This window comes from Homo sapiens, chromosome 3, assembly GCF_000001405.40.
Source record: "Homo sapiens chromosome 3, GRCh38.p14 Primary Assembly".
In the NCBI taxonomy this organism is placed as follows: Eukaryota; Metazoa; Chordata; class Mammalia; order Primates; family Hominidae; genus Homo; species Homo sapiens.
Genome location: NC_000003.12, coordinates 89,308,458 through 89,334,206, shown reverse-complemented (window position 1 = coordinate 89,334,206; position 25,749 = coordinate 89,308,458). Strand labels below are relative to the sequence as shown.

At 33.9% G+C, this 25,749-nt stretch overlaps 1 protein-coding gene across 5 annotated transcripts in view, besides 1 other annotated feature; it reads right to left on the bottom strand.

Moving 5' to 3' along the window:
• Positions 1–25,749, bottom strand: part of EPHA3 (EPH receptor A3) — a 374,514-nt gene that overhangs the window by 147,928 nt on the left and 200,837 nt on the right. The gene's annotated exons all lie outside the window — the stretch shown is intronic.
• Positions 1,489–2,078: an enhancer, noted in NCBI's record as "NANOG-H3K27ac hESC enhancer chr3:89381279-89381868 (GRCh37/hg19 assembly coordinates)". NCBI's record gives its function as "activates a minimal SCP1, AML or CMV promoter by ChIP-STARR-seq in primed H9 embryonic stem cells {active_cell/tissue: H9 hESC(primed)}" and the evidence as "EXISTENCE:reporter gene assay evidence [ECO:0000049][PMID:30033119]".

Sequence of the window (25,749 nt, the reverse complement as noted above, 5' to 3'; positions counted from 1 at the left end):
TGATATACATTGACTGCCAAACAAATAATTCCCTGTTATACTTTCATCATAACCAATAACATAATAAAACTATATGTTATGATAGTCATCCCCTTCCCACATTTTACATTGTGAAGAATGTTTGGAAGTTTGTGAATTTTATGGGAATGAATAGACATAAAAATCAAATTTGATAACATCAATCAAAATTATTTCTAATTTTAAAAATATAAGATATTTTCTCTTTTAATGACAAGAAAAATAAGCACAGTATTAAAAAGACAACTGAAAAGAGAGCACATTTGCCTTCTGTTAGTCTGCAGTGAGGTTTTTTATTTTTTTTTTTCTTTTTGAGATGGAGTCTTGCTCTGCTCTGTAACCCAGGCTGGAATTAGCAGCGTGATCTTGGCTTGCTGCAAGCTCTGCCTCCTTGGTTCAAGCAGTTCTCCTATCTCAGCCTCCCAGGTAGCTGGGACTACAGTCGCATGCCACCACACCAACTAATTTTTGTATTTTTAGTAAAGATGGGGTTTCACCATACTGGTCAGGCTGGTCTCGAACTCCTGACCTTAGTGATCTCCCCGCCTCAACCTCCCAAACTTCTGGGATTACAGGCATGAGCCACCCTGCCCAGCCTGCAGTTAGGTTTTATTTACCCTTTTCTTGCTAATCTAGTCTTCAGCTCTTCAAGTTTAAGTGCCGAGTTAGTGACGGCATGCTTGTGCATTATCGAGCAAACACCAAAACTTATTTTAAAAAACACCCAGAATGGGCCACAGTGAAACAAATTAGATAAGGCCTTTGCAAAATGTTAATTTTCTATTAAGAAATACTAAAAATATGAGTAAGATAATAGAAGGAAGCCAAAATAATACCAATTTGTAGTGGATGAATTAGAAATATTTTGGGAACCTGCTGATTTCATATTTATGAAGGGGAAACAATAAAACAGGAACTAAACACTGTGGGCCCATATGGGGGTAAAATAGCAAACTGCCAGCTCTGAAAAATAATATGGAAACAAGTATGAAACAGGGAGTATTATGAGCACTACCTATACAATGAATAATCATTATGGAAGAGCTTCCAGATAGAATCTTGGCCTCATTCCCAAAGCACAAAACACATTTTTGTCACAGTTGTAATTGATGACTTTGAACTATGCTGATACAGGGAATGGGTAAAGTTACCATAGTGAAAGGGAAACAAATGCACTTAGTAAACCATGGTGGCTACTGTTGAAAGAAAGAAGGCAGCCTTTCAATTGCAAAGTGAATTTTGTCTCCGGTTGACTAATGTGGTTGACTTTTAGAAGAAACATGGTCCTAATTAAGGGTTAAAAGGCTCATTTCAATTTGAATTGACTTTAAATTAAAAAAATAAAGCTGTTGGTAAATAGGTCTCTTTTAGTATTCAGACGTTAGCTCCCTCCACACAGGGCTATATTAGCAATTCCCAGCCATAAACACAAACTAATGACTAGAACCAGCACTGACTAAACAGATGATTTCCTGGCCCTGCAATTCCAGGCCTGACAGGGTCTATTTGCCTGTACAAGGTCACAGCAACTGTTTATGCCCAAAATGAGCTGCACTCCACAATGTTACAGGAACTCTATTCTTTGCCATCTGAATAGAGGTACAATGCGTTGAGGCAAGGCCCAGGCATTTCAATACACTGGAAGTGGCTACGTTCAGTCATTAAACTCTGCCTGCAATGTGCAGCATTTACAAAGTGATCAAGTGTTTCCTTCTTCTGTTCCTTCCACTGTTCTATAAAAAAGGCCTAAGGCAAAATGCCACCACACCATTAAACACAGCAAAATCAATCACAATCCAGTATGGCTCAAAGATAGCTTAGTAACAAGGCTTTATTGTGTTTGTTGTTATTGCATCAGATTTAGTAAGACAGGTGCCAGTAACACTAAAATATGTCCAATGTACATTCGCCACAAAGAGAATGTTAAAACAGCTTCTGGTCCTGAGGATGGTGGTGTTTTGCCAGCTTTTTGGCTGTCCACTTTCAAGGAACTGTATGTCCTAAGAGTAGCACTAGTTGGGTTTTCCGTTCTTCATGATCAGTGCTCAGAGAATGAGATCAATTAACAGAATATGCATGTAATGAGCAGACGATTATGTGGGAAGGGCCAGAGCGAGAATGGGATAGAAAGTCTTATTTATGAAGATGTTATTAAGGTGAATGTCAAAATGCATAAAGCTCAACTCTATACTCAGGATATATTAGCAGACAGCCTGGAGAAGCTTTTCAGAATAGTGCTGAAAAGCTTTTCTGAAGTGTTTTGTTTGCTTGTTTGTTTGTTTTGTTAAATATCAGAACAGCATTGGAATGTATAGGAAAACTCCTAGAAAGGAGTTTTGGAGATGCTAAATCACTACTACATCTGAATACTCTTTACTATAAATTAGCATTTCCCAGGCTGATTTGGAATCATAACTAGAACATGAGGTTTGGTTACCAATCAAATATCCACCTTTATAATTTAATTTTAGATGAACAGAATTACCACCATAAATTGAATTTTGGAGTGTCCAATGCCACCCAGAGAAGGAGTCTGAGATAGAAATGATGAAAACCTAGATGCTGTAATTTCTAAAGGATCAATATTGTACATGAATGTAGGAAGAACACTTAGGTCCTAGGTATGTTCATCTACACAAAGTTATATGAGCAACACTATTTATAAAATTGGCAAATTAGAAAAAAAGTGTGATGACCTAAATTAGAAAAGCAGCTAAATAAATTATGCTATGTTCACACATTTTTATAAATAAGTTATGCTATTCTCATACATTTGTATAATGGTATTAGTGTCTCACATGGAAAGATGCTCATAATATTTTTACAGGAAAAAGGCAGGATAAAAATGTATATATAATTTTGTTGTTGTTTGTACTTTCTTATTCATCAAACATTAACTTGATCACTTATTTCATAAACTTAAAAACGAAAAGGTTCTTAGAAGTAAAATTATTGCACATACACAATAAAAAATCAAAATATCTTAGTCAAAGAATATGTGTGTTTGTATAATTTGAGGTTTGGGTGCATGTGCGTGCAGTTATGTACATGTAACGTATGTAAATACATTGCACACTTGCACACTCTATGTGGGGCAAACATCTGCATATCCATATCTGTCTCTCACTCTGTCTACACACACACATACAGATGCACAAACATCCACTCACCACAGTTTTTATTTGTTCTTACTTCCATTTCACTGATCTAAGAGCTTCCTTTTTCTTCTTGCTTTTTTCCCTTCAAAAACATGCAACATGGAGGAAATTTATAATTGACAGAAAATTTTGATAGTCCACTAACATGAATTTTCACACTTTCCAGATTAAGTAATTGCATCCCCACTTGGTAAGATGTATACAGAAGATAGCACTTTTTTAAATCCAGGATTTTAAATGAAAACAGAGCGGAAAATTTAGAGGGATAAACGACAAATTTCTGTGGATGCTGCAAAATACAATGTGCAATTATTTGCTCTCTTAGTTATATTGTTGATTATCCACTCTGCAAATAAAAGATGACAAACTGGAACTTTGAAAAATGGTGACATCATTGCATTTTATTATAAGTCCTTTAAATTGGCTTTACTGTTTAGATAAATTTATTTTAAATTAACATACATTTCTATTCTGAGGAATTAACTCAGCTTTCAAATTCACACCTTAATATTTCATATCATCCTATCAGCTTTCCATCCCACTTTATTTTTCGAAATTTATTACTATGACTTATGTGATAATATTATTGTTAAAAAGCCAATGGATTTAAAAAAAACCTATGATATATAATTTATACATTGGATTTTTATTATCACATAATATTACCAACTAGGAGAAGTTTATCATTTAAAAGTATTCAATATTTGCTTTGAGTGATTTCATGGCAGACAGACATTTATCAGGTAACAGAAAAATAAAGTAAGAGTTAGTGTAATTTTAGGGTCTGTTTTTTATTTATTTTTATGTTTATGGTAAGTATTTGTTCTAAGATGGAAAGGGGGTTTCTACTTAAGGTATCCTGAAATTTATTCCCTAAATAGATAAGAATGGATTTCTCAAGGAAAACATAAACACCATGATAAATAAGTGCTTAGGGGATCAACAAAACTTGACTGAATGAGTTTTTTAAATATCTTAAAAGAATCCTCTTTTTTGAAACTATAAAGACATAAATATTTGTAATTGTATAGAAACATTTATATATTTGATTTTCACATAAAATGAGTTCTATCTTATTTAATAAAAAATATTTTTCTAAGAATAAAAATATTTTTAAAAACTTGCCTCTATAAAGTTTCAGATTTGTATATTCACTGACATTTGTATGTCAGAAACACAAAAATATTCCCCTCTCCCAGTGAAGGTGGGAAGAAACTTCTCAAGCATATGGAACAATCTCATGGGCAGATACCACAGCAATATATAGTAGTATTTAATGGTGTTATGAAAATAAAATATCCCAAAACTTCAAGATGCACTATAACAGGTTTACATTCTTTAAAATGGTTAATTTATAAATATAGAGATAACCATTTTTTTTCTTCACTATGTTATGCTAAAACTTTACTTTCAACTTGGAAGATGAATTGCAATAAAAGGAATACAATGATTAAATCCATTTAAGAGGAAGAAATTCTCTCTTCCTGTCCTTTTAGAGGACAGGAAGAATGGGAGAAAAGATGAGAAAATAGCGTATTGGAAATATTAAGATGGATTGCTTATAGTTGGCAAATATAAAACACTCATAGTATAAATAACTGGGACACATTAGGAATGTGGACCATAAGGAAGAACAATAGAAGAATCTCTGCCATTTTTGTTCACTTTATCTGGAAATGTCACATAACCTCAGACTTGGCCATCTGTATTCAGTGTTGCTACCCTAGAAGTGTGGAGAGGATGGTGGGGGCGGAGCGGGGAGTGGGAAGGAGAAGGAGGAGAGAGAATTGTTGTGTTTGTGTGTGTTAAAATGGACACGCCGAGGGTATGTGTGTATGTTTACATATGAATTTAAACCATCACCCTATTTCTTAGTAGAGATAATTACATATTCCATTAACCCTTTGGAGTTACTTTTTAGAATTTCATTGATTGCCTTGAGATACTCATTCAGGATAATTGTGTCCTTTTTATAACATGCAAAAAAATGAGACCTAAAAAGGTGAGGGATTGGGAAGAGGGTGGGAAAGGGAGTTAGTTCCCTGAGATTGTTACATCTTAGACAGCGGCACACATTTTGTTGCCTTTGAAAACCCAGGCACATTGAACTACAATGTTTACATCACCTTTTCCAGAACGATGTACCTGGAGAGAACAGTTCATACCTACAGGTAATGTAAAAAGCAGCATTTACTGAAACCTACTCCATGCCTAGCATTGCACCTGTGTTTTAATTCCATATTCATAACAATTATGTGAGACTGGTATTATCTCTTTTTCCTGAGGAGAAGGTTAGGGCTTAAAGGTATTAAGTGCATTGGCTGTTTATCCCAAGATTTAAGTGTTGTAAACAGAAATGAAACTTATGTTTGAGGGCTTCCAAGACATAGGTATTCTGTGTTTGCATCCAATTTCTTCTTATTCATGTAAAACTGTAAAAGAACAACTAATGTAGCATTAACATGCAATCCTGCACTGTAAAAATAATGTAACCAATTTAATGGAAGGGTGACTATGAAGATAGAGACATCTTCCAAGGCACACAGGGAAATTGATTACCTTATCTCTTTCCAGTGACTGTTAGTTTCACAGTAGTTTTCTTCAACAATATCTTAGAGGTCTAGTCAAGTGACTGGCTCTGATGCAAAGAAACTTTATTAGGAGTAGAGAATGCTTAATTTATGCAAACCTGCTGAAAAGGTATTTGTGGGCTGAATTATTTTGTGGGGGGATCTGCCTGCTTCCCATGTAATGGACTGTCTACTACATGTTATTAGTCGAAACACGGAACTTTATTGGGTAGAGGGAAAAAATAAAGCATTTTATGTTCCAAAATTAGTGGAGTGTGCTTAACGTCTGACAGAATAAAGTAATAAAGTGAGATTGCATAAATTATTTGAGTTTTTTCTGTTTTTTTCTTTTTTTCTTTTTTTGAGATGGAGTCCCACTCTATCACCCAGGCTGGAGTACCGTGGCATGATCTCGGCTGACTGCAACCTCTGCCTCCCGGGTTTAAGTGATTCTCCTGCCTCAGCCTCCTAAATAGCTGGGATTACAGGTGACAGCCACCATGCGCAGCTTATTTTTGTATTTTTAGTGGAGATGGGGTTCCACCATGTTGGCCAGGCTGGTCTCAAATTTCTCACCTCAAGTGATCCATGCGCCTCAGCCTCCCAAGTTCTTTGAGTTTTGATCAGAAACAGTTTATGGCATTTACAGATATAACGCCCTACTATGTGTCCGTACCATGTATCTGAAAGCAATACAGAGAAAAACAAAACAAACAAACAAAAAAAAAGCACAGTTCTCAAGACTTTCAGGGGTATATTGATGCACTTCAGAAAAGATGCCTAAAAAAACTTTCCATACTGTCCCCCAACTGCACCTACCAATTTGATTATACATTTGGCACAATTAAATAAAGTATTTACAAACCAATAACACTTTTGTCAATTAGAACTGGAAAAACACATCTAATAGTACACCTAACGTGCCCTCAGTATAACACATGATAGAGTCTGTACCACTTTCCTTCTGAGTAAGTCTTGGTTTCTTAGCGCTTACAGTTTATTTGATGATACATAGTGTGGGGATATATCTGAAAAGAAAATTTTTATGACTAGGCAAGTTCATGGAAGTATTCTATAAAATCATTTGAACTCATATTCTAGCAGTCATTTCTAACTGCCTTAACATTTCATCATCTGTGTGTTTACAGGCCAGATAAAAATTTCAACTACCTGAAAATCTTCTTTCTAAAACAGTGTGCTATATTCAGTTGAAAATTGATATATCTTGTAAGGCAATCTTGTCACTCTAAACACTGACAGTATAATCATGTTTTCATAAAACACATGTAGAAAGCACATTCTACATGTGTTTAAAACTCCACTCCTATTATGTTACTGCAGTGTGATAGATAAGGTAAGTGCACTTCATGGGCATCTTTCTTTTATTTACCTTTATTTCTTACCATGTACTAGAATGACTGGCTTATATAAGGCAACCGAAAAACTTTCAGGGAAGAATGGAGGCCTCTTTCATCTCTCCACAGCAATTCTCCATTATCACATGTCCTATGCCCAATTACTTGGTCCAACCAAACACATATATCTTAGTAGGTCTAATTTCCCTTTAAATAATCAGTCTCATGCTATGAATCCATCAAGAAGCTTCCGAATTAAAAAAACAGAAAGAGGATGGACAAATTTGTAAAGATATTTATGTGTTTCATTAGGTGCTAAATACAGAAATGCAGTTGGCCTCTGTATTTATGGGTTCTGCATCTATGGATTCAATCAACCACAGATCAATTTAAAAAAAAAAAACTGGCTAGTCAAGGGCCAGGTGCAGTGGCTCACTCCTGAAATCTTAGCACTTTAGGAGGCTGAGACAGGTGGATCTCTTGAGCTCTGGAGTTCCAGACCAGCCTGGGCAACATGGTGAAACCCCATCTCTACAAAAAATACAAAAATTAGCAGGGTGTGGTGGCACTTGCCTGTAGTCCTAGCTACTCAGGAGGCTGATGTGGGAGGACCACCTGAGACCAGGGGACTCAAGGCTTCAGTGAGTCATGATTGCATTACTGCACTCCAGCCTGGGCAAGAGAGCAAGATCTTGTCTCAAAAAAAAGATGGTTGTACTTGTATTGAACATGTACAGATCTTTTTCTTGCCATTGTTCCCTAAATAATATAGTATAACAACCACTTATTAGCATTTACATTGTATTAGGTATTACAAGTAATCTAGAGATAAAGTATATGGAAGCATGCAATAGGCTATTTGCAAATACAACACTATTATATACAAGGGACTTGAGCATCCATGGATTTTGGTATCCTCAGGGGTCCTGGAACCAATCCTTCATTGATACCAAGGGACAACTCTGTATAATATATGTAATATGTACATAACATATAATAATATATATAATTAATGATCATCATAATCACATTTTAAAACCAGAAAAAAAGGACTTCCCAGTGTCCTATAAGCATTTATTTAAAACAAAATCTTTAATTATATTTTAATTTTGTATTCTTTAATATAATCTTTGGTTATATTAAAGATTTCATTTTTAAAAATTCTTAATATGTATAATATCTTAACTGTATATAAATCTTAATTATATTAAAGAAAATATCACAAAAATAAAGGAAAATATGAGTTACATTTACTAAGGAAACTTTTTTTATTAAATAAAAATTTAAGTTGGCATAGAAAAGAAATGGAGTAAGTGAATTTCCAGTTGAATAATATTTATGGTATGTACAGTGTCTAACCTTTAAAAGAGATCTATCATTTTCTGTGATATGTACAAAGTACTACAGTATTCACATGATATGTAAAAGGAAAAAATAAAGTAGAAGGCAGAGAATTCTAGGGTAAAAGTCTTGAGGCAGGAAAGAACTGGAGAGTAAATGAAAGGTAAAGAAAAAGAGTATAGCTGGAAAAGAAATGATATGAGGGCCTCAGATTAATTTGGTGGCACATGCAGGCCAATTAGGCCATGCCATGTCTTCAGGCTTATATTAAGGTGGCTTGTTTTTCTACATTAAGTGTTATCAGGGGTTATTGAAAGGTTTCACGCATGAGGTACACCATAATCAGATTTACATTTCAAAGAGATTATGCTTGCTTCTATCGGGAAAATGTATTAAACTGAGTCAAGAATGGAACAGATGGGAAACTACTGAAATAATCTAAATAAGAAATCATAAGACATAGGTAGAGAAGTGATTATGGACATAGAAAGAAATGTATTTATTTGAGATACATTATGTAGATGATATGAAGATTTTAGATGATGCAGAGTGCAAAGTGGAAGAGAGTATAAAATAAATCATTCTTCCAAAAAGACACATGAACTCTTATGTTCATCACAATACTATTCTCTATAGAAAGACATGGAATCAACCGAGGTGCCCATCAGTGGTGGATAAATAAAATATAGTACATATACACAGTGGGACACCACGCAACCATAAGAAAGAAGGAAATCATGTCCTTTGCAGCAACATGGATGCAACTGGAGGCCATTATGCGAAGTGAATTAGGCAGGAACAGAAAACCAAATAGTGCACATTCTCACTTATAACTGAGAGCTAAATACTGGGTACTCGCAAATATAAAGATGGCTACAATAGACATTGGGGACCAATGGCAAGGAAAGAGGGAGGTGGGTAAGGGTTTAAAAATTAAGTGGGTATTATGCTCACTATCTTGGTGATGGGATCATTCATATCCGAAATCTCAGCATCACACAATATAGCCATATAACAAACCTGAACATGTATGCTCTGAATCTAAAATAAAACTTGAAATTATAAAAAAATAGGATGACATCTAAAAGTTGGTAATTATGTGTAGTGATAGATATGTTTTTGTAATCATTTCACAGTGTGTATGTATAAGAAATTGTCACATTGTATACCTTAAATATATGTAATTTTTGCCAATGATATAGCAATAGAAGTAGAAAAAATAAATCTGGATAAACTAGTTAAAAAAAATAAAAAATAAAAAAAATAAAAAAATAAACTAGCTGGGAGCTGTGGGTCATGTCTTTAATCCCAGCACAAGCGTGAGCCACAGCGCCTGGAGGCCTAGGCAGGTGGATCACTTGAGTTCAGGAGGATGAGACCAGCCTGGCCAACATGGGGAAACCTCGTCTCTACTAAAAATACAAAAAAAAATAGCACGGCATGTTTGCACACATCTGTAATCCCAGCTACTTGGGAGGCTGAAGCATGAGAATCGCTTCAACCTGGGAAGTGGAGGTTGCGGTGAGCCAAGATTGCATCACTGTACTCCAGCCTGGGTGACAGAGTGAGATGTTGTCTCAAAAATTAAAAAAAAAAAAAAAAAAAAAAAGACTGACATCTAAAGTTCCACATTGAGCAGTTGGGAACTATTCCTATTTTTTGAGTTACAGAAGGAATGGCTATATGAGCAAAGGCACAGGAGTTATAATTTGGATGTGTTACATTGAGTTAGCCAATAGGAAATGCCAAGTTAGCATTTGCTGTAGTAAATCGTGTGGTATTTATAGTATTTGTACTGCAAAAAAAAATGGATTCCAATATTTTCATGTTATGAAAAATGCCACATTTAGTTTTCTTTGTCACATAGGCTTCTGTTTATTGACACTAAATGAAGTTGGTTAGCAAAAATATGGATTTCTAGAGAAGCCAAAGTGATCTAGAAATACATAATTTCTATGTAAAAATAATTCAATAAAATATTGCTGGAGAAATCTTTCACGTTACTGATACGTAAGAAAAATAAACTATCTTTACTGAGTTGAGCGATTCATTGTCTTAGAATATAGTACTTATTAAACCAGAATACTGGTTTTGATTTCTTTATGAACCAGATACTTGTCTTCAAAAATAGAAAGCCTGTGTTTTAAGAACTCCAATATAAGCTTTTTGTTGTTGTTGGCTAATAAATACTATTTATAACAAAATAGAAAAGAAAAAATTATGATCATACCAACAAAAATCATGTCATGACTATTGGACCAACAATTTAAAGTGCATCCTCAATGCTGGTAAATCAATAGGAGATATTATTTTGATCTGCACATTTTAATTGTTAAGAGCCCAGGTTCAGAATGCTCAGGTTCAAATCTTGGCTCTGCCAGTTACTATATATGTAACTGAACAAGTTACAAAGCCTCCTCACGCTTTAGTTTGTCTGTAAAATGGGGATAGTGAAAACTTTATAATAGGATTTTGTAGGAATTACATGTGAGTATAAATATTCTCTAATACACATTAGCATATTAGAAATTAGTAAGTATTGACACACATTTATATAAATAAATGCTTACATATTGTGTATAAACATTTTTAAAATCTGCAACATAGGTAGATGTGTCAATATATTTAAGCAATATTAAACCACATTTGCCTTTACTTAGTCTTCTACTTTTGGAGATGTATTGGACATTTGCTTTTTCTTGGAATATTATACCAACATCCTTTTCTGTTAAAATTATACTTTTTAAATATAATTCACAAAGATATATCACAAAAGAGCACCTTCTTTTCCAAGTATGTTATTAATAGATATATGGCAAGTCCTTTGCCACACCCTACTTTATGAGCCTAGAGATTTCCATAGATAAACTATGTCTAGATAACTTAACAAATTAGACAAGTCAAAGCAATTTTTGCTTTTGGTTCTTGGTGTATATGCCAGGCCATCTGATCACATATATCTAATACGTTTACCATGCTCTGAAATCTTTGTACTTGCTGGTAAAAGCACCAAAGCTGAATGGATCTCCTCAGGGGTAATTGAAATGATTACCTTTGACTTTGTAGCTCAAAGCTGCTTTGCTTTTTTATATAGGTACACTCTTCCCACTCCCAATACTGGCAATTATAAATTTTTATTTCTTAGGCTGCCACATGCACTAGCAAACACTTCCAAACCTGGCTGCCTTCCCTCTACATCTCGTCCTCACTTTTGGAAGGAGCCTTCATTTACATAGTTTCCAAACATGTATGACTTTCAAATACTTTAGTTTTCCCAGTCTTTTTTCTCAGTAAGTACAGTACCATCGCTAAGGTGATACTAATCCTCTCAACTTTCAGCCACTTGTCCAAATTTATATCATGTTGACACTGACCAATGTCTCCTCTGTCTCATAGTTTTTCTAGCAGTTAATGAGAAGTCAAAGGTTAGAGCTATTAGTCCAAATCCTAGGGCATAAGTATCCAGATTATAAAAACCACATTCACATATGGCAATAATTGGCAGGCTCTTTTAGGTGATCATAGCATTATTTCCAAAGACTCAATGGATACTTGAATAATTCCATGGTGCCAAATAGGAAACTCTCTTGAATGCGATAAGTATATACTGTTTTCTCTCTCTCTCTCTCTCCAACCCCCCTCTGTGTGTGTGTGTGTGTTTGTGTGTGTGTGCAGTTACTATTTTTCCATGGATTTTTCCACTGAAGTAGACTCATTTGAATAATCTGTACCAGAATTCACACAATTCTACCAAACTTCTAAAGTTAACTTTATACCAAATGCAAGCTCAGAAATAAGATAATTCATTTCCATGCTGCATAAGGTATTATAGAATTAAAGTAATGGAAGACAACATCTTTATACATCTAAATACCATGATACTAGAAGCAGCAGCTCAGTTTTGTAAATGACTTTTTATCAAGAAGCTTAATGCTATTTATAGAATGTTATTTTAACCAAATTTTCTTTTTCTTGTTATTCTTCAAAAGTAATACAACATTCAATCTGTTGCTATTAAGGCATTTATTAAATTCATATTTTAGGATTCAATTTTATATACAGTACCTTTATTTATAATTCTAAATATGCTCTTTTGTCCCCACTGGTTTATAAGGCTCTGCCATGCTCCTTTCAGTTTCTTTCCAACCTTTTTCTATTTGCTCGCACTTGGTAATAAGTTAAACATTTCTTAGACTCACAAGTAATCAGCAAATGAGAAGGAGAATATTGTGGTGCTTCTAAAGGAATAGCAGACATTTAAAGGAAGTGCTGTACCCAAGGTATTTCAGAACTGACTTAATGGAGTGGTATCAGAACATTTCTTAGAGCAGAAGTTATTTTAAATGAGCTTGAAGTATATAGGCACAGCTTCCTTATTGAATGGCATTTTTCATGTAGGAAAAGGAATAGCTTCAGACTAGGAGGCAGCAGATCTGTATATTACTTCTGATCGGCACTGTTTAGCTGGCTAGTGTCTTACATTAAGAACTAGTCCCAGATCTCAAAGCCAATGGATGGTGGAGAAGGACTTGCCAAAAGACCTTCCTTCTTCAACTCACATGCTGCTTCCATTATGCTCGCAGCATAGAACCTTAAAAAAAAGCTAACAAATTGTTCCTGGGTCAGTTTAACAAGGGATGCATGTACTTTTGACTATATTTTACTCCGCATACATGTGTGAATATACTGAAAACCAGGAACAGTGTCATACAACAAGCCAGTGGTGTGAACTTTGTTATAGAGAGAGAGAAAAAAAAAGGCAGTCTCTCATAAAATATACATAGCCCATCATTTCTTCCTCTATCACCTACTATACACACAGGAGTGACTTTTCAGTAGCCAAGATGATATTGATTCTGTCTTAGGAATCTTCTCAATTTCACATTACAGAGGAATACACAGCAACTACTGAGAGAGATAGATCATTACATACTCATCACATGAATAGGGTAATTTTGGTGAATAGTAACATTTTGAATATTTCAGTAACAATTTTTCAGGAGTTATAAAAGACTTTCAAATATTTTTGTGGTGTTTTACATCTACATTCATTGCTGGCAATCTAATATCTAATTTTTGTTAATCAAGATCCTAAATAGGCATATAATTAAGTGTAAACAAAGATTTAAAAAATCTTGCCATGTAGCCTCATGGCTTAAAAAAAAAGTCCATGGGATTGTTTCATTTAAAATCTCATATCCTAGAGTAAATAGAGTTCTTCATCTATTTAGCACTCATCTCCCAGGATTAGAAGATGACACAAGATGGCTCAATGATTACATTGGAGAATATGTTTCCCCTAAAGCGAAGATAATATCCCTGTAGTCACCTTTAGTTTCTTATCTCAAGTTCCTCTTGCATTTGCTGAATTCTATTCCTCTGTGTCAACTGTAACTTGAAAATTAAACACCTTTGGGACACTAGAGAATAGCACGAGATGAACACTATTCTGACCCAGCTGGAGGCCACTGAAATGCTGCTGCACCAGAGGAAGTGAAAGGCTTGGGTGTCATGGAAGATAACTGTAGGAGCTGGCACTTACATGTGGTTTCCCCCATTATTTTATTATTTTCTTTTTGAATTCTTTGTTCTTGCAAGTATGTATATCTTTCTTCTATATATTACTAGTAAGACTAGTTTTGACTAGCAATGACTAAAGAATAAGTCATTCTTCTTAGAATTATGCTATTTTTTTCAATATCAGAAATTGTCTTGTGCTCAGAATTGTGAACATTCTGAAAAAACTCATGCTTAAATACATACTTGTTTTGCCTGTAGGTACCTGTAAGGCATTTATAAATACCACTTTGTTCTGTTATTGTATATAGCATTATATAAAATATATACCATTACTTATTAAAAACAAGCCCACGAGTTTTAAAAGTTTCCAGATTAGTTATAGAAAGCACATTAAGATCAAGCTGTTACACCATGAGCCTCTACTGAAAACCACTAATAATTTTTAATTATAGGGAATTCACATAATAGCTTAGAAATTAAAAGAGAGAGGAGCTATTTTAACATTTTATGGCATCAGTTTAGGTCATCTGAGGCCCCCAGTTTTTGCACAAACGATAAAAGGCTCTCTCCTGACAGAATAAATTGAGCCATAAGAGAGGGCCCTTCCTCTAGATAGGGTTTTGATGGGTATAGTCATTGTGCTGAGCTTCTATGAGCTTCAGTTTTTTCACCACTCTTTCTGGCTCTCTGGTGACTACGCAGCTCTCCTGTTTGTAATATTAACATCTGTGCATGCTTCTATTTTAGTATAGTGTATTGTCATTAGCTCTCTTCGGGGCTTTGGCCCTATTACACTGTAAATTCAGTGAGAAGAATTATGTCCTATATATCCTTGTGTATCGGATATCCTAATACTGCCTAATACAAAATTGGTAATTATTATTCATTGACACAAATAAACTTCATGCATACATACATGCATACATGTGTGGGGCATTGGTGTGCACTGATAATACTCAGTATACATGTCATGGCATGATATAAGTCTCTGCTCCTACTTCTCTTCTCCCTCCTCTCTCTTACTCTCAATCTTTCTCCCCAGAAGTTATTAGGTTCTATAGTAGAAAAGAAAGGAGTAAAAGAAGAAAATGGCATTTAGACCAGAATATCAGAAAATTGCTTACATTTTGGAACCTGGAGAAAAGATAAGTGATACTGGCAAGGAGATTCAGAAAATGACAAATGGTGAATACTGATAGTAGAGATCAATGATTTCATCAAAAGCATAACTAAGAGCAAAATATTCTGAATAACATATGGTAAGTAAGAAAACCAAGGAAATGTGGATTTGAGCAATCATTCTTTGAGCCTACAGAACATCAATATTTGCACTCCTCTGGGGAAGGATGTGTGTGTGTTCTGATTTCACAAAATTGTTTAAATGTAACTAACACAGTATTTGTGTCAAGTATTACACATTTTCAAATACAGACAGTATAAGAAAACTCATAACTAATATCAAGTCTTGTGATTTACTCTACCATTCTTTAGAGATGTCATTATTGTATTTTTATACGTGGTCAATAGATTATGCTTAGCATCTCCATAAGCAAAAGTTCTACAATTAGGTTTCTGCTGAATGTAAGCATGTGTTTGGAAATGAAATGCATTTAAACATGGGTACCATCAACATAACCTTTCTGTATCAAGCTGGCCGGCCGTCTGACCATTTACTGCAAACTTTGATACTTTATTGGATTATTATGTGCAAATGATTGAGGGCCAGGATACCGGAAAGATTTTTAGGAGAAGTCAAATCATTCAACAGAAAATAGTCTGAAATGAAAAGAATTTGAAAGTAGCCAGGACAACCAAGAAATACAAACTATCATCATACCCCCATGCCCCACACCCAAAATATCAAATCAAAGGATGAAAAAATTGCTCAGAAAATGAACTTCCTTGATAGCTGTTAATAAAGTACAAATTATACCTTGACATTTTGTCTCAGGAAAAAGACAGTAAGTTTTCTTTTCACTGCAGAAAGCATACTTTCCATTCATCAACAATATGGCTTTCTAAAATATCTCTTCAAGTTATTATGGTCTTTTATGACCAGAACTGATTGTAAAATATGATGTTACAAAAATCAATAATAAAATATTCATATGATCCAAGGTTTTTCCAAATTGAATCTGACTGGGTCATGGAAGTATGCTGATGTCTGGAACGCATGTAATATGCTGCTATATTATTGATGCCTGTCAAATAACGGAAATTGTTACAAATTAATTCATTCCTAACCTAATTAACCCCGTGTGCAATATTATATATATTCCAGACAAGTACTATTTTTCTCTGGCTATAAAATGAGAAAAGACAATATTTTAACTTATCAAATCTCTTTTTAAGCCACTTAGAAACCTCAAAGACTATTGCTTATGTAGAAGTGATACAAAAGAATGCATTACCTCATTTCTTTGAATTATTTTTGATCTAATACAAAATGTTCTCTTTCTAACTTTTTTATTGTAAAAATATTCCATAAAAGTGTCTAGGCTAACTTTTATATATTGAATGGATAGAATATATTAATATAAATATATTGCATTACTTTTTAAAATGTGTACATTTGGGGCAGGAAATGAGGAAGGTTTAACATTTCTTTGATGTTATACTGCAAAAATGATTATTTGTTTTTTACCTACAATATATCATAGGTCTAACTTTTCAGGTCAATATATGGCAAGATACAGCTTATCATGGTATAGATAGAGATTAAGACTGGCCTTAATGGAATCAGGGAGTATGTTGTGAGTTCATTTTATAATATTTTGCTACTTTGCTTTATCCCTCTATTTACACATATCCCTCTCCACCCCCATTTGCCAGTAATGTCATGCTCTTCCTATTGGCAGTGCAGGGCCAGATTTAAACACATCCAGATCTGAAATTTTCCTGTGCTCCAGATCTATCTTGCATCTGCTCCACATCAATAGGAAAAGTCCTGTTGTCTTTCTTCCTGCTAGCTGATAAACCTAGTGAGTTTATCAGTAAACAATAAAAGAAATGACAAACCAAGAGAAAAATCTAATTGTTGAGATGTTTTGAACTATTTTAATCTGATTTTCTATAACCATCATTTGATATCATGTTGCAACATTTTTCCTTTAATTATGGCCAAAAATTTCTATTTGTCTAATTATAGAATAATTTAACGTTTGGTTAAGTAGATTTTAAAAAGGAGGGCAGCCTTGAGTGGCAGTAGGATGGATATGGTACGGTAAGTTGGATCTCAGGGAGCATCAGAGTTTGGACACTTTCTAAGTGATCTTAGAAAGGTTATTCAGCCTCTCTGAACTTATTTTCATATATTTATACTGAGTACAAAAATATCTCCCTCAAAGAGTGGTTGTGAACATTGAAATGACCATTCATAAAGTGTCTGATACAAAGGAGGTACTTACTAAAAGAAAGATTTTGCCATTACACAACAGTTATATTTCACAACTGATACTTCCGTGCAAATCTTAACAATGCCTATTTTCAAAGGCATTGTTTTAACATAAGGTAACTCTCCAGTATGTTAGAAATCTAAGAATTTCATTTTCCATAAGAGAGCATTAAGTATCACCAAAGAGAAAACTGTAGCATATTTAAAAGAGAACTTTTCCTCCTGCTTTCAAAATCTACAACAGTAAAAGAGAAGTGCTTTGTGATTAATCTCCTTTTTAGGGCATAGGAAAAAGGTATATACCCTTTTCTATATATATATATATATATATATATATATATATATTACACACACACACACACACACACACACATATATATACAGTGTATACTCTGAAAGACCTCTGTATTGTACCAGATGTTGTCAAAATGCGTTAGTGAAACGTCATATCTGATAGAAACTAATGCGCAGTGATGCCCCACTGATTGGAATGTCATTGATGCTGTGGCCTGTTGTTTTTGACACCACAGAAGAGGATCAAAGCATCTTTCATGGTGATAAAGCTGGCAATATGGATGGGAAATAGTGCCAGAGAGACTGATTAAGTGTTAACATTCCCACCTGGTGCCATGAAAATAGCACACAACATTTATAATTCAGGGTGATTTTCTCCTCCTGTGCCTACTTTCGTGCCAGCTATAGTATTTGAAACAGCACTGATGAACGCTTTCTTTTTCATATTCTGTCCCAGGCAAGCTGTGGGTTATGGCAACTTATTTTTTGCGTTATTTTTTCAAGGAGTGCCTTTTACATTTATATTAAGTATTTAAAAAGGCATTTCAAGTGGACCTTTTTATGATTCATCCATTCTCCCTGACTCTACATGTGGGTCACCACACTCAGGCTGTCCCTTGACTGATAAGTACCTCAGGGAACAGATTTTTCTTATAATACTTTAGAGATGATTCAGGGGATCCAGGTCCTAACTTTCCATTCTCAAGGAATAATGTCAACTAAATTTGACATTCTGAAATAAGAATAAATCCCTTTTCTGAAACCATGCATCATCTATCACAATTAGACTTACTGGCACCTATAATTTTAGCATTGTTGCTTTTTCTCCATGAAACTAACTGCAAGGCAAATCCAGCATGAGGCCTGAAGAAAAAGAACCCTTTCAGAACTGCTAAGCTGAGATGGTTAAGTGGACAAGATTGCTTTTTTTTTTTTTTTATTAAAAAGGAAATTTCTCTTCACAGATTTCAAGCATCCTAAATCAAAAGGGATAGTGATATTTATTTAGCTTTAGGGAAGATTCTCCTAAAAAATGATTAAATGTGATTTTTAAGCCAAATCAATGGTAACACATTTGTATGAATCGCTATCATCCACAGGACAAAAAGAGCTTTCATTAATCCCTGAAGGTGCCCTGAAGTGTTCATGTTCCCTGAGCTCTGAACTGTAGCACTTACACCACGTCTCATCACATACTATAGTTGATTCAGAAACAAACCGTGCTCCTTAACTGCTGTTCTATTCACCTTCATCTTTGTAGGCATACACTGTCATTATAAGATATTATATTTTAACAAATGGAATAAGTATTTTGCATACACACATTCACACACATTGTATACACACAAACCATATATATAAAAAATATATATGACATATATGTAATATATACAGTCACATACCACATAACAATGTTTCAGTCAATGATGGACAGCGTGCATGACAGTGGACCCATAAGATTATAATGCCATATTTTTACTATACCTTTTCTATGTTTAGATATGTTTAGATACACAATACCAGTGTGTTATTATTTCCTTAACACTAATCAGTGCCATAACATGCTGTACAGATTTGTAGCCTAGGAGCAAAAGGCTACACCATAAAGCCAAAGTATGTGGTAAGCTATACTATCTAGGTTTGTGTAAGTACATTCTATGATATTTGCACAACGACAAAATCACCCAGGGATGCATTTCTTAGAATGTACTCCCGTTGTTAAGTAACGCATAACTGCATATATATTTTTTTCAAATAATTTCCATCAGGGAATAATTTGCTGAGTGTACCCAAATGATGTCATGATGTAACAGGTATTTCTATTACTAATTTGTAAGATTTTAGCCAGGCTTTATGGTCCATTTGAAATCACTGTGTTTAGATTTTGTAGGCTGCCATCTAGGTGCCAGATAGCTGAATGCATCTTATGTTACTGATGAGGTCATCATGAAGCAGCATGCTGAGAACAGCAGGACTGTCACCAGGCTCTGGAAATGAGGCAGTCATGTAAGTGTGTCTTCATTTGTATTCTTTCATAATTTATTTGCATGAGCTTTCACTCTTTATAATCAGGGTGCTTTGGATCTTTGATTAATACAGTATAGATTGCTTTGTATCACATTAGCATTGATTCCCACACTATTAAAGATCTTTGTTTGAAAAAAAAATCTTATTTGCCCCCATGTGATCCTCATAATTTATATAAAAAAGTTAGTCACATACCTCTAACATCACTATGAGAAGAAACAAAACCTAAAATACTGATCAGAAACTTTAGAAAATAGAAAAGTAGCTTTTATATAGGGGCAAACATTAATTTGACCTTGTGCTGATTATTTTATGGTGAAGATAGCAACTAAATTTGACAAAATTTGAAATTTGACTATATGATTTGAGATAGTGAAATTGACCTCTCAAAACATATTTGACTTCTGTGAAAAATTCCATGATAGCAGCTACCTCAAATATAACCAAATGGACAAGGGCATGTTGAGATGCCTAGTCAAATGAAAAGTATTACACAACATTAATTCTTCATGTGTGTGTGTACATACAGCATCAAATTAATATTAAAATTAACTTACTTCTAAGTTATTCCCACTAAAAAAATCAAATTTTAAATTCTTAAAAGAATAGTTTACTTTATAAAAAATATATACCTGCCATGATAACAAGAGAATATTTCTTTTTATTTTACTGCTGACAGTTTTAAACAACAATATGTAGTACTTAGAGGCTGGAATGACAGGTGTAATGGGGAAGTGATAATTTTTGCTTTTATTCACTTTTTGTTACCATTCACTAATATATCTCTTTTCAAATTGTTTAAAAGTCACATGACTACTTTAAAGTAAACATAAGACTGTATATTTGGCTTTATAAAATATATGATATAATACATATGGAAACAACAGCATGGAACCTACAGAGGACATAGACTTATGAAAATTTCCTATATTTAACCAGAAGTAATTTAGTGCCCACTTGAAGTATATTGTAATAAGTTACAGATAAACATTGAAATCACTAGAGAAAATATGAACAGATAATGCAAGAAGGTCAATGGAGGATTGAAAATTACATATTTACTAATCATTTTGTTAAACTAACAGTGTAACAAAAACAAAAGATTAAAGGAAAAACAGAAGAACGAAACATCATTGAGAGAAGCAGAAAACAAATAGCAAATGGCAAACCTAAAGCCAAATGTACTGTTTAAATTAAATGTGAGGGAATGAAACTTTTCAAACATATAGCAGAATTTGTCAGATTAAATTTAAAAATCAAGATCCAATTATATGCTATCTGTAAGAAATGATAGATACTTTAAATTTAGAAACAAAAATAATTTGAAAGTGGAAAGATTAAAGAAGATTACTATGCATATTGTAAAATAAAATAATTGGCATAACTCTATTATTGCACAAAACGGATTCAAGGAAAATAATAATATCTGGGTATATACCCAAAGGAATACAAATAATATTATTATAAAGACACATGCACACATACGTTCACTGCAACACAATTCACAATAGCAAAGACCCGGAATCAACCTAAATGCCCATTAATTACAGACCAGATAAAGAAGATGTGGTACATATATACCAGGGAATATTATGCAGCCATAAAAAATAACAAGATTATGTCCTTTACAGGGACATGGAGGGAACTGGAAGCCATTATCCTCAGCAAACGAACACAGGAACAGAAAACCAAACACCGCATATTCTCACTTATAAGTGGGAGCTGAATGATGAGAAGGTATGGACACATGGTGAGGAACCACACACACTGGGGCCTTCTGGAGCATGGTAGGTGGGAGGAGGGAGGGCATCAGAAAAAATAACTAATGGATATTAGGGTTAATACCTGGGTGATGAAATAATCTGTTCAACAAACTCCCATGATAGAAGTTTACTTATGTAACAAACCTGCACATGTATCCTTGAACTTAAAATAAAAATTGAAAAGAAAAGAAACTATAACGGGTATAATGAAAATATCAATATAATAAGAAAAAATAATACTTATAAATATATCAAGCTAAAAACGGAAAAAACTGAGGCAAAATGCACACAATTTAAAGAAGAAAGATAAGATCAGAAAGGAATAATTAAAACTGTCTTTATTTCATAAACCATGACTGTGTATGTAGAAAATCTTAATAAATCTACAAAAAAAAAAAACCAGAATTGCGTAACTGCGAATGAACTCTCACATTTTAAGCTTTCTCTAAAAAACGTCTTCCCCAACTTCAGAGTTTTCTTGAAATGCATGGAATTAATAAATAAAAATCAAAGACAAACATTATTATAATCTTTAAGTGCACTAAGTCCTTCAGCAATATTGTTTACATTACATTTTGATTATATTATTATCAGAGGTTATAAATATATGTGACCAAAAGTCCTGAAAGAAGTGAAACCAGGAAATACATAGGGAGTAATGTGCTGACCATAGAAAACTGAGGTGCAAAGATTTGATAAACTATATAGGTTCTATACTTCTACCTCTATGTCTTTTATTTGTTATTTAATTTTCTTTAAGGATTTTGTTTTTGTTTTCTGTGCCCCTCTTTTCTCACCTTTTCAACAAAATCATACCTACTTGTGTCATCCTCAAAGCCACTCTTCAATATTCTTGGCCATTTCACATTGGACAACAAATCCCAGGATATTATTCAGACATTAAATACAAAATATTCCAAGTTATATTGCCAGCTCCGAAGTGTTGAAAATACAAGTGTCTGTGCCAAGGAAACATACGCTTGAGGTCAAAGAGTCCCTTGGAAGTTTTAATGATGTAGACACTCAATAAACAATTCCAGAGCTGGCATTTGCTGAAGAAAGACAATCCCTATTCACTAAGCCAGAATAATAAACATGAATTTTAAGAGACAGTTGATGGCTTGGACCATGAATCTTCTAAATCCATTGGGTCCTTTGGCTAGCACTGGAGAGAATGTTAAACTTGAGCATGTCTCAAAATTCTGAAAATATCTTGACTCAATTATGATTATAATTTATTTCTTTCCAGGCTAAGTACATGATATATATGGAAACAAAATGCAGAATTTTAAAATCCTCCTCTGTTACTCAAATCACACCACCACCTTTTGTCCCTATTTTAGGCACCAAAGTTTGCATGGTTTCACTTAGATTGTTGGTTGAAATAGTAAATGTCAAAAGCAAGAACAAAGAAATTGTAATATTCACCAAAAAGTCCATTTCTTCAAAATGTCAGCACTCTTTTATCAAGTTTCATAGTTAGGAGAACAAAGGGAAATGTGTTGACGTTAAATGCTTTCATTTTATATTTCTTCTCTTTGTAATCCATAATCTGAAATGCATTTTATTTAATTTTATAACATAGGGAGGGGCATCATATATGTATACACTTTTTGTCCTTAAAATAATTTCTTAAATAATAACTGCAACCATTTGTAAAATGCTTACTGTTTGCCAGGTATCGCTCCAGCATTTTATTTAATCTTCATTACAGACCTTTATAGCAGTACCACTATGAACACTATTATACAGATAAGAAAACCAAATAGCAGAAAGGTGGAGTAACTAGTTAGGAAATGGCAGAGTCAGGATAAGAACCTAGGCATTTTGGCTTCAAAGACTGTGCAACAAATCACTGTGCTTCAAAAAAATACAGGCTAAGACAGCTTCAGAAGACTAAAATTTGCTTTTTTACTATTGCTGATACTTCATATATTTGTCATAAAACATCCGCATTCCAATTAAATTATCTAGCTCTTATAGTTAAACAGATGACAAGTCATGAGGTGATGAATTATCAGGGAATTCACTTTGTTTATTGACCTTTAGGAGTTTACTTCTAATTAATATATATTATGAATATCTATATAGACATCTATATAGAGTATCTATTAAATTGCATGGTATATATAATATCTATATTCTGTTAGACTTACTTAACAGACTGTGTCCCTGTTTTTTGGAGAGGTGAATAGGTAAGGTATTTGGAGGATGTAAGACCCAGGCTATGAAAAAATGTAAAAACTAAGTATACAATAAGAAAGGAAGGGGTTAACATAATTTAAATTAGACTTCATCTCCTAAATCAAAGTGCTTTTCAGTTAACCTACTTATCATTGAGAAGATATACCCCAAAAATTCGTATCAATACTAACTTTAAAAAAAATTAATGAATTTTCCAAAGCAGTCTGACATTATTCTGTGCATTATAAGGATAATTGTGATAAGGTCTTCAATTTCTATTTTTCCTTTAAAGCTATTATATTGTATCTTTTTCCTATCCCTTACAATTAGTACTCACATGGACTATTATGCTTTTTACTCACTTGCCTTTTACTTTTATATGTCTGCTTTATATATAAAGAACCCTGGCCTGAACTGCTCAAAGGGCTATACAGGTACCAGCTCATTAAAAACTCTGCTGAGAGAAGTCAGTGAACATTTTAACAATTGTACTGTTTTCTATAGAGAACAGAGAGTTTAAAGGCATGTGGAGCTCACCCTGTGAGTTTTCCATCAGAGACCTGACTTGGTATAAGAATCTTAATTCTGAGGTGATGCATTTAGTTTGCTTCCAAGTTTTAATTCACAAGATTTGTAACTTGTAGTAATAAAAACCACAGGATATGAGAATGGCATTATGAAATGGAATGTTTGTGTGTGGGGGGTGGGGGGTGGCATTTTATTGTGAAAAGAGAAGAAAGAAGGAATGGGCCCAAAGATCTCTTAAGGTCTTCTTTAAATTTGTATTTAATTATTTACTAAAAACATTTTTTTCTTGAATGTTTAGAAATTCGACATATTACTATTGACCTAGGGAACATAGGTTTGGCCTGAAACCAAAAATATTTCTATTTGAAGCCTATCAAATAAATGAATTAGAATAATAATAACAACAGTAAAGTAGATTAATCTAGCTACGCTTAGTGCTCTGGTGCCCCAATATGGGATAGGCTAGTAAAAGTACTGTTAGATGTGAGCGTGTGTGCCTGTGTGGGTACATGGCAGGAAGTTGAAAGTGCAAGGCAGAAATAATAGAACATCTCATGACTTTGAGAGGCTAAAACTCAGAATTATTCCTTCCCTCTCCCATACCCTCTCTACTTCTCACATGTTAGACACCATAAAAGGTGATGTCTCTCACATTTGTTAATCTCTTTTCCAGAGGTTTCTAAATAGGCTCAAGATACAACTTTCCTAAACGAAGCAAACAAAACAATATTCTCTCCTATTCCCCTTCTCCGTATCAAAATGCTGATGTAACAATTAAGTTTTCGTCTTGAAAATATTTGTGGAAAGAGTATCCTATTCTTTCTCTTTCTACTTTCTTATACCCATTCATTCTCTAACTCCTACCAATTCAATGAAACCATTTGGATACTGTCAAAAATAATCTCCCAGTTGCTAAATCCAAAGGCTCTTTTTCTTCACTCAGCCTACTTGATCTGCTGTGCAACATTTGATACTTTCACTACTTTCTTCATCTTTAAAGCTTTCCTAATCCTGGCTTCTAAGACACCACTCTCTCATTTTACTGTCCAACTTCTAGAACACTTCTCAGAATCTTCCTCTGTTTGCCTCCCAGATGCTGTAGTTAGGAAGAAGTGATCAATCATAATGGAAAAGTAGTCTAAGAAAAGACTGAATATCTTCCTGAATCCATTGCCTTTGTCATCTAATCCATTTTATATATGCATTCAGTATGAATCTTCTTCGTTAATTCAATGTTATCTACAAAAGATTACCGAGTTTCATTAAAATTGTTATTCCCAGATTCCTTTACACAAACCTTTCCACTATTTCAAAATCTCAACACCCCACTTATACTGACTATAACCAACTATAACCCAGGTGAGGATTTATAATGTTTGCTGAGTTGAATGTCATTTCTCTACTCAAAATCTGTAGTTGCAAATTATTGGAAAACTAAAAAAAAAAAAAAATTCCCTTGGCTGTAGTCCATAAATAATGTGTCCCCTTTTTAGTTGTTTCTACCTAACTTGTGCAAGCAGAATTCTTAGCATAACCGTCACTTCAGCATAATCAGCTGCTTCCTATGCCAGGGTTCCTGATGTTCTTCTTGCACTC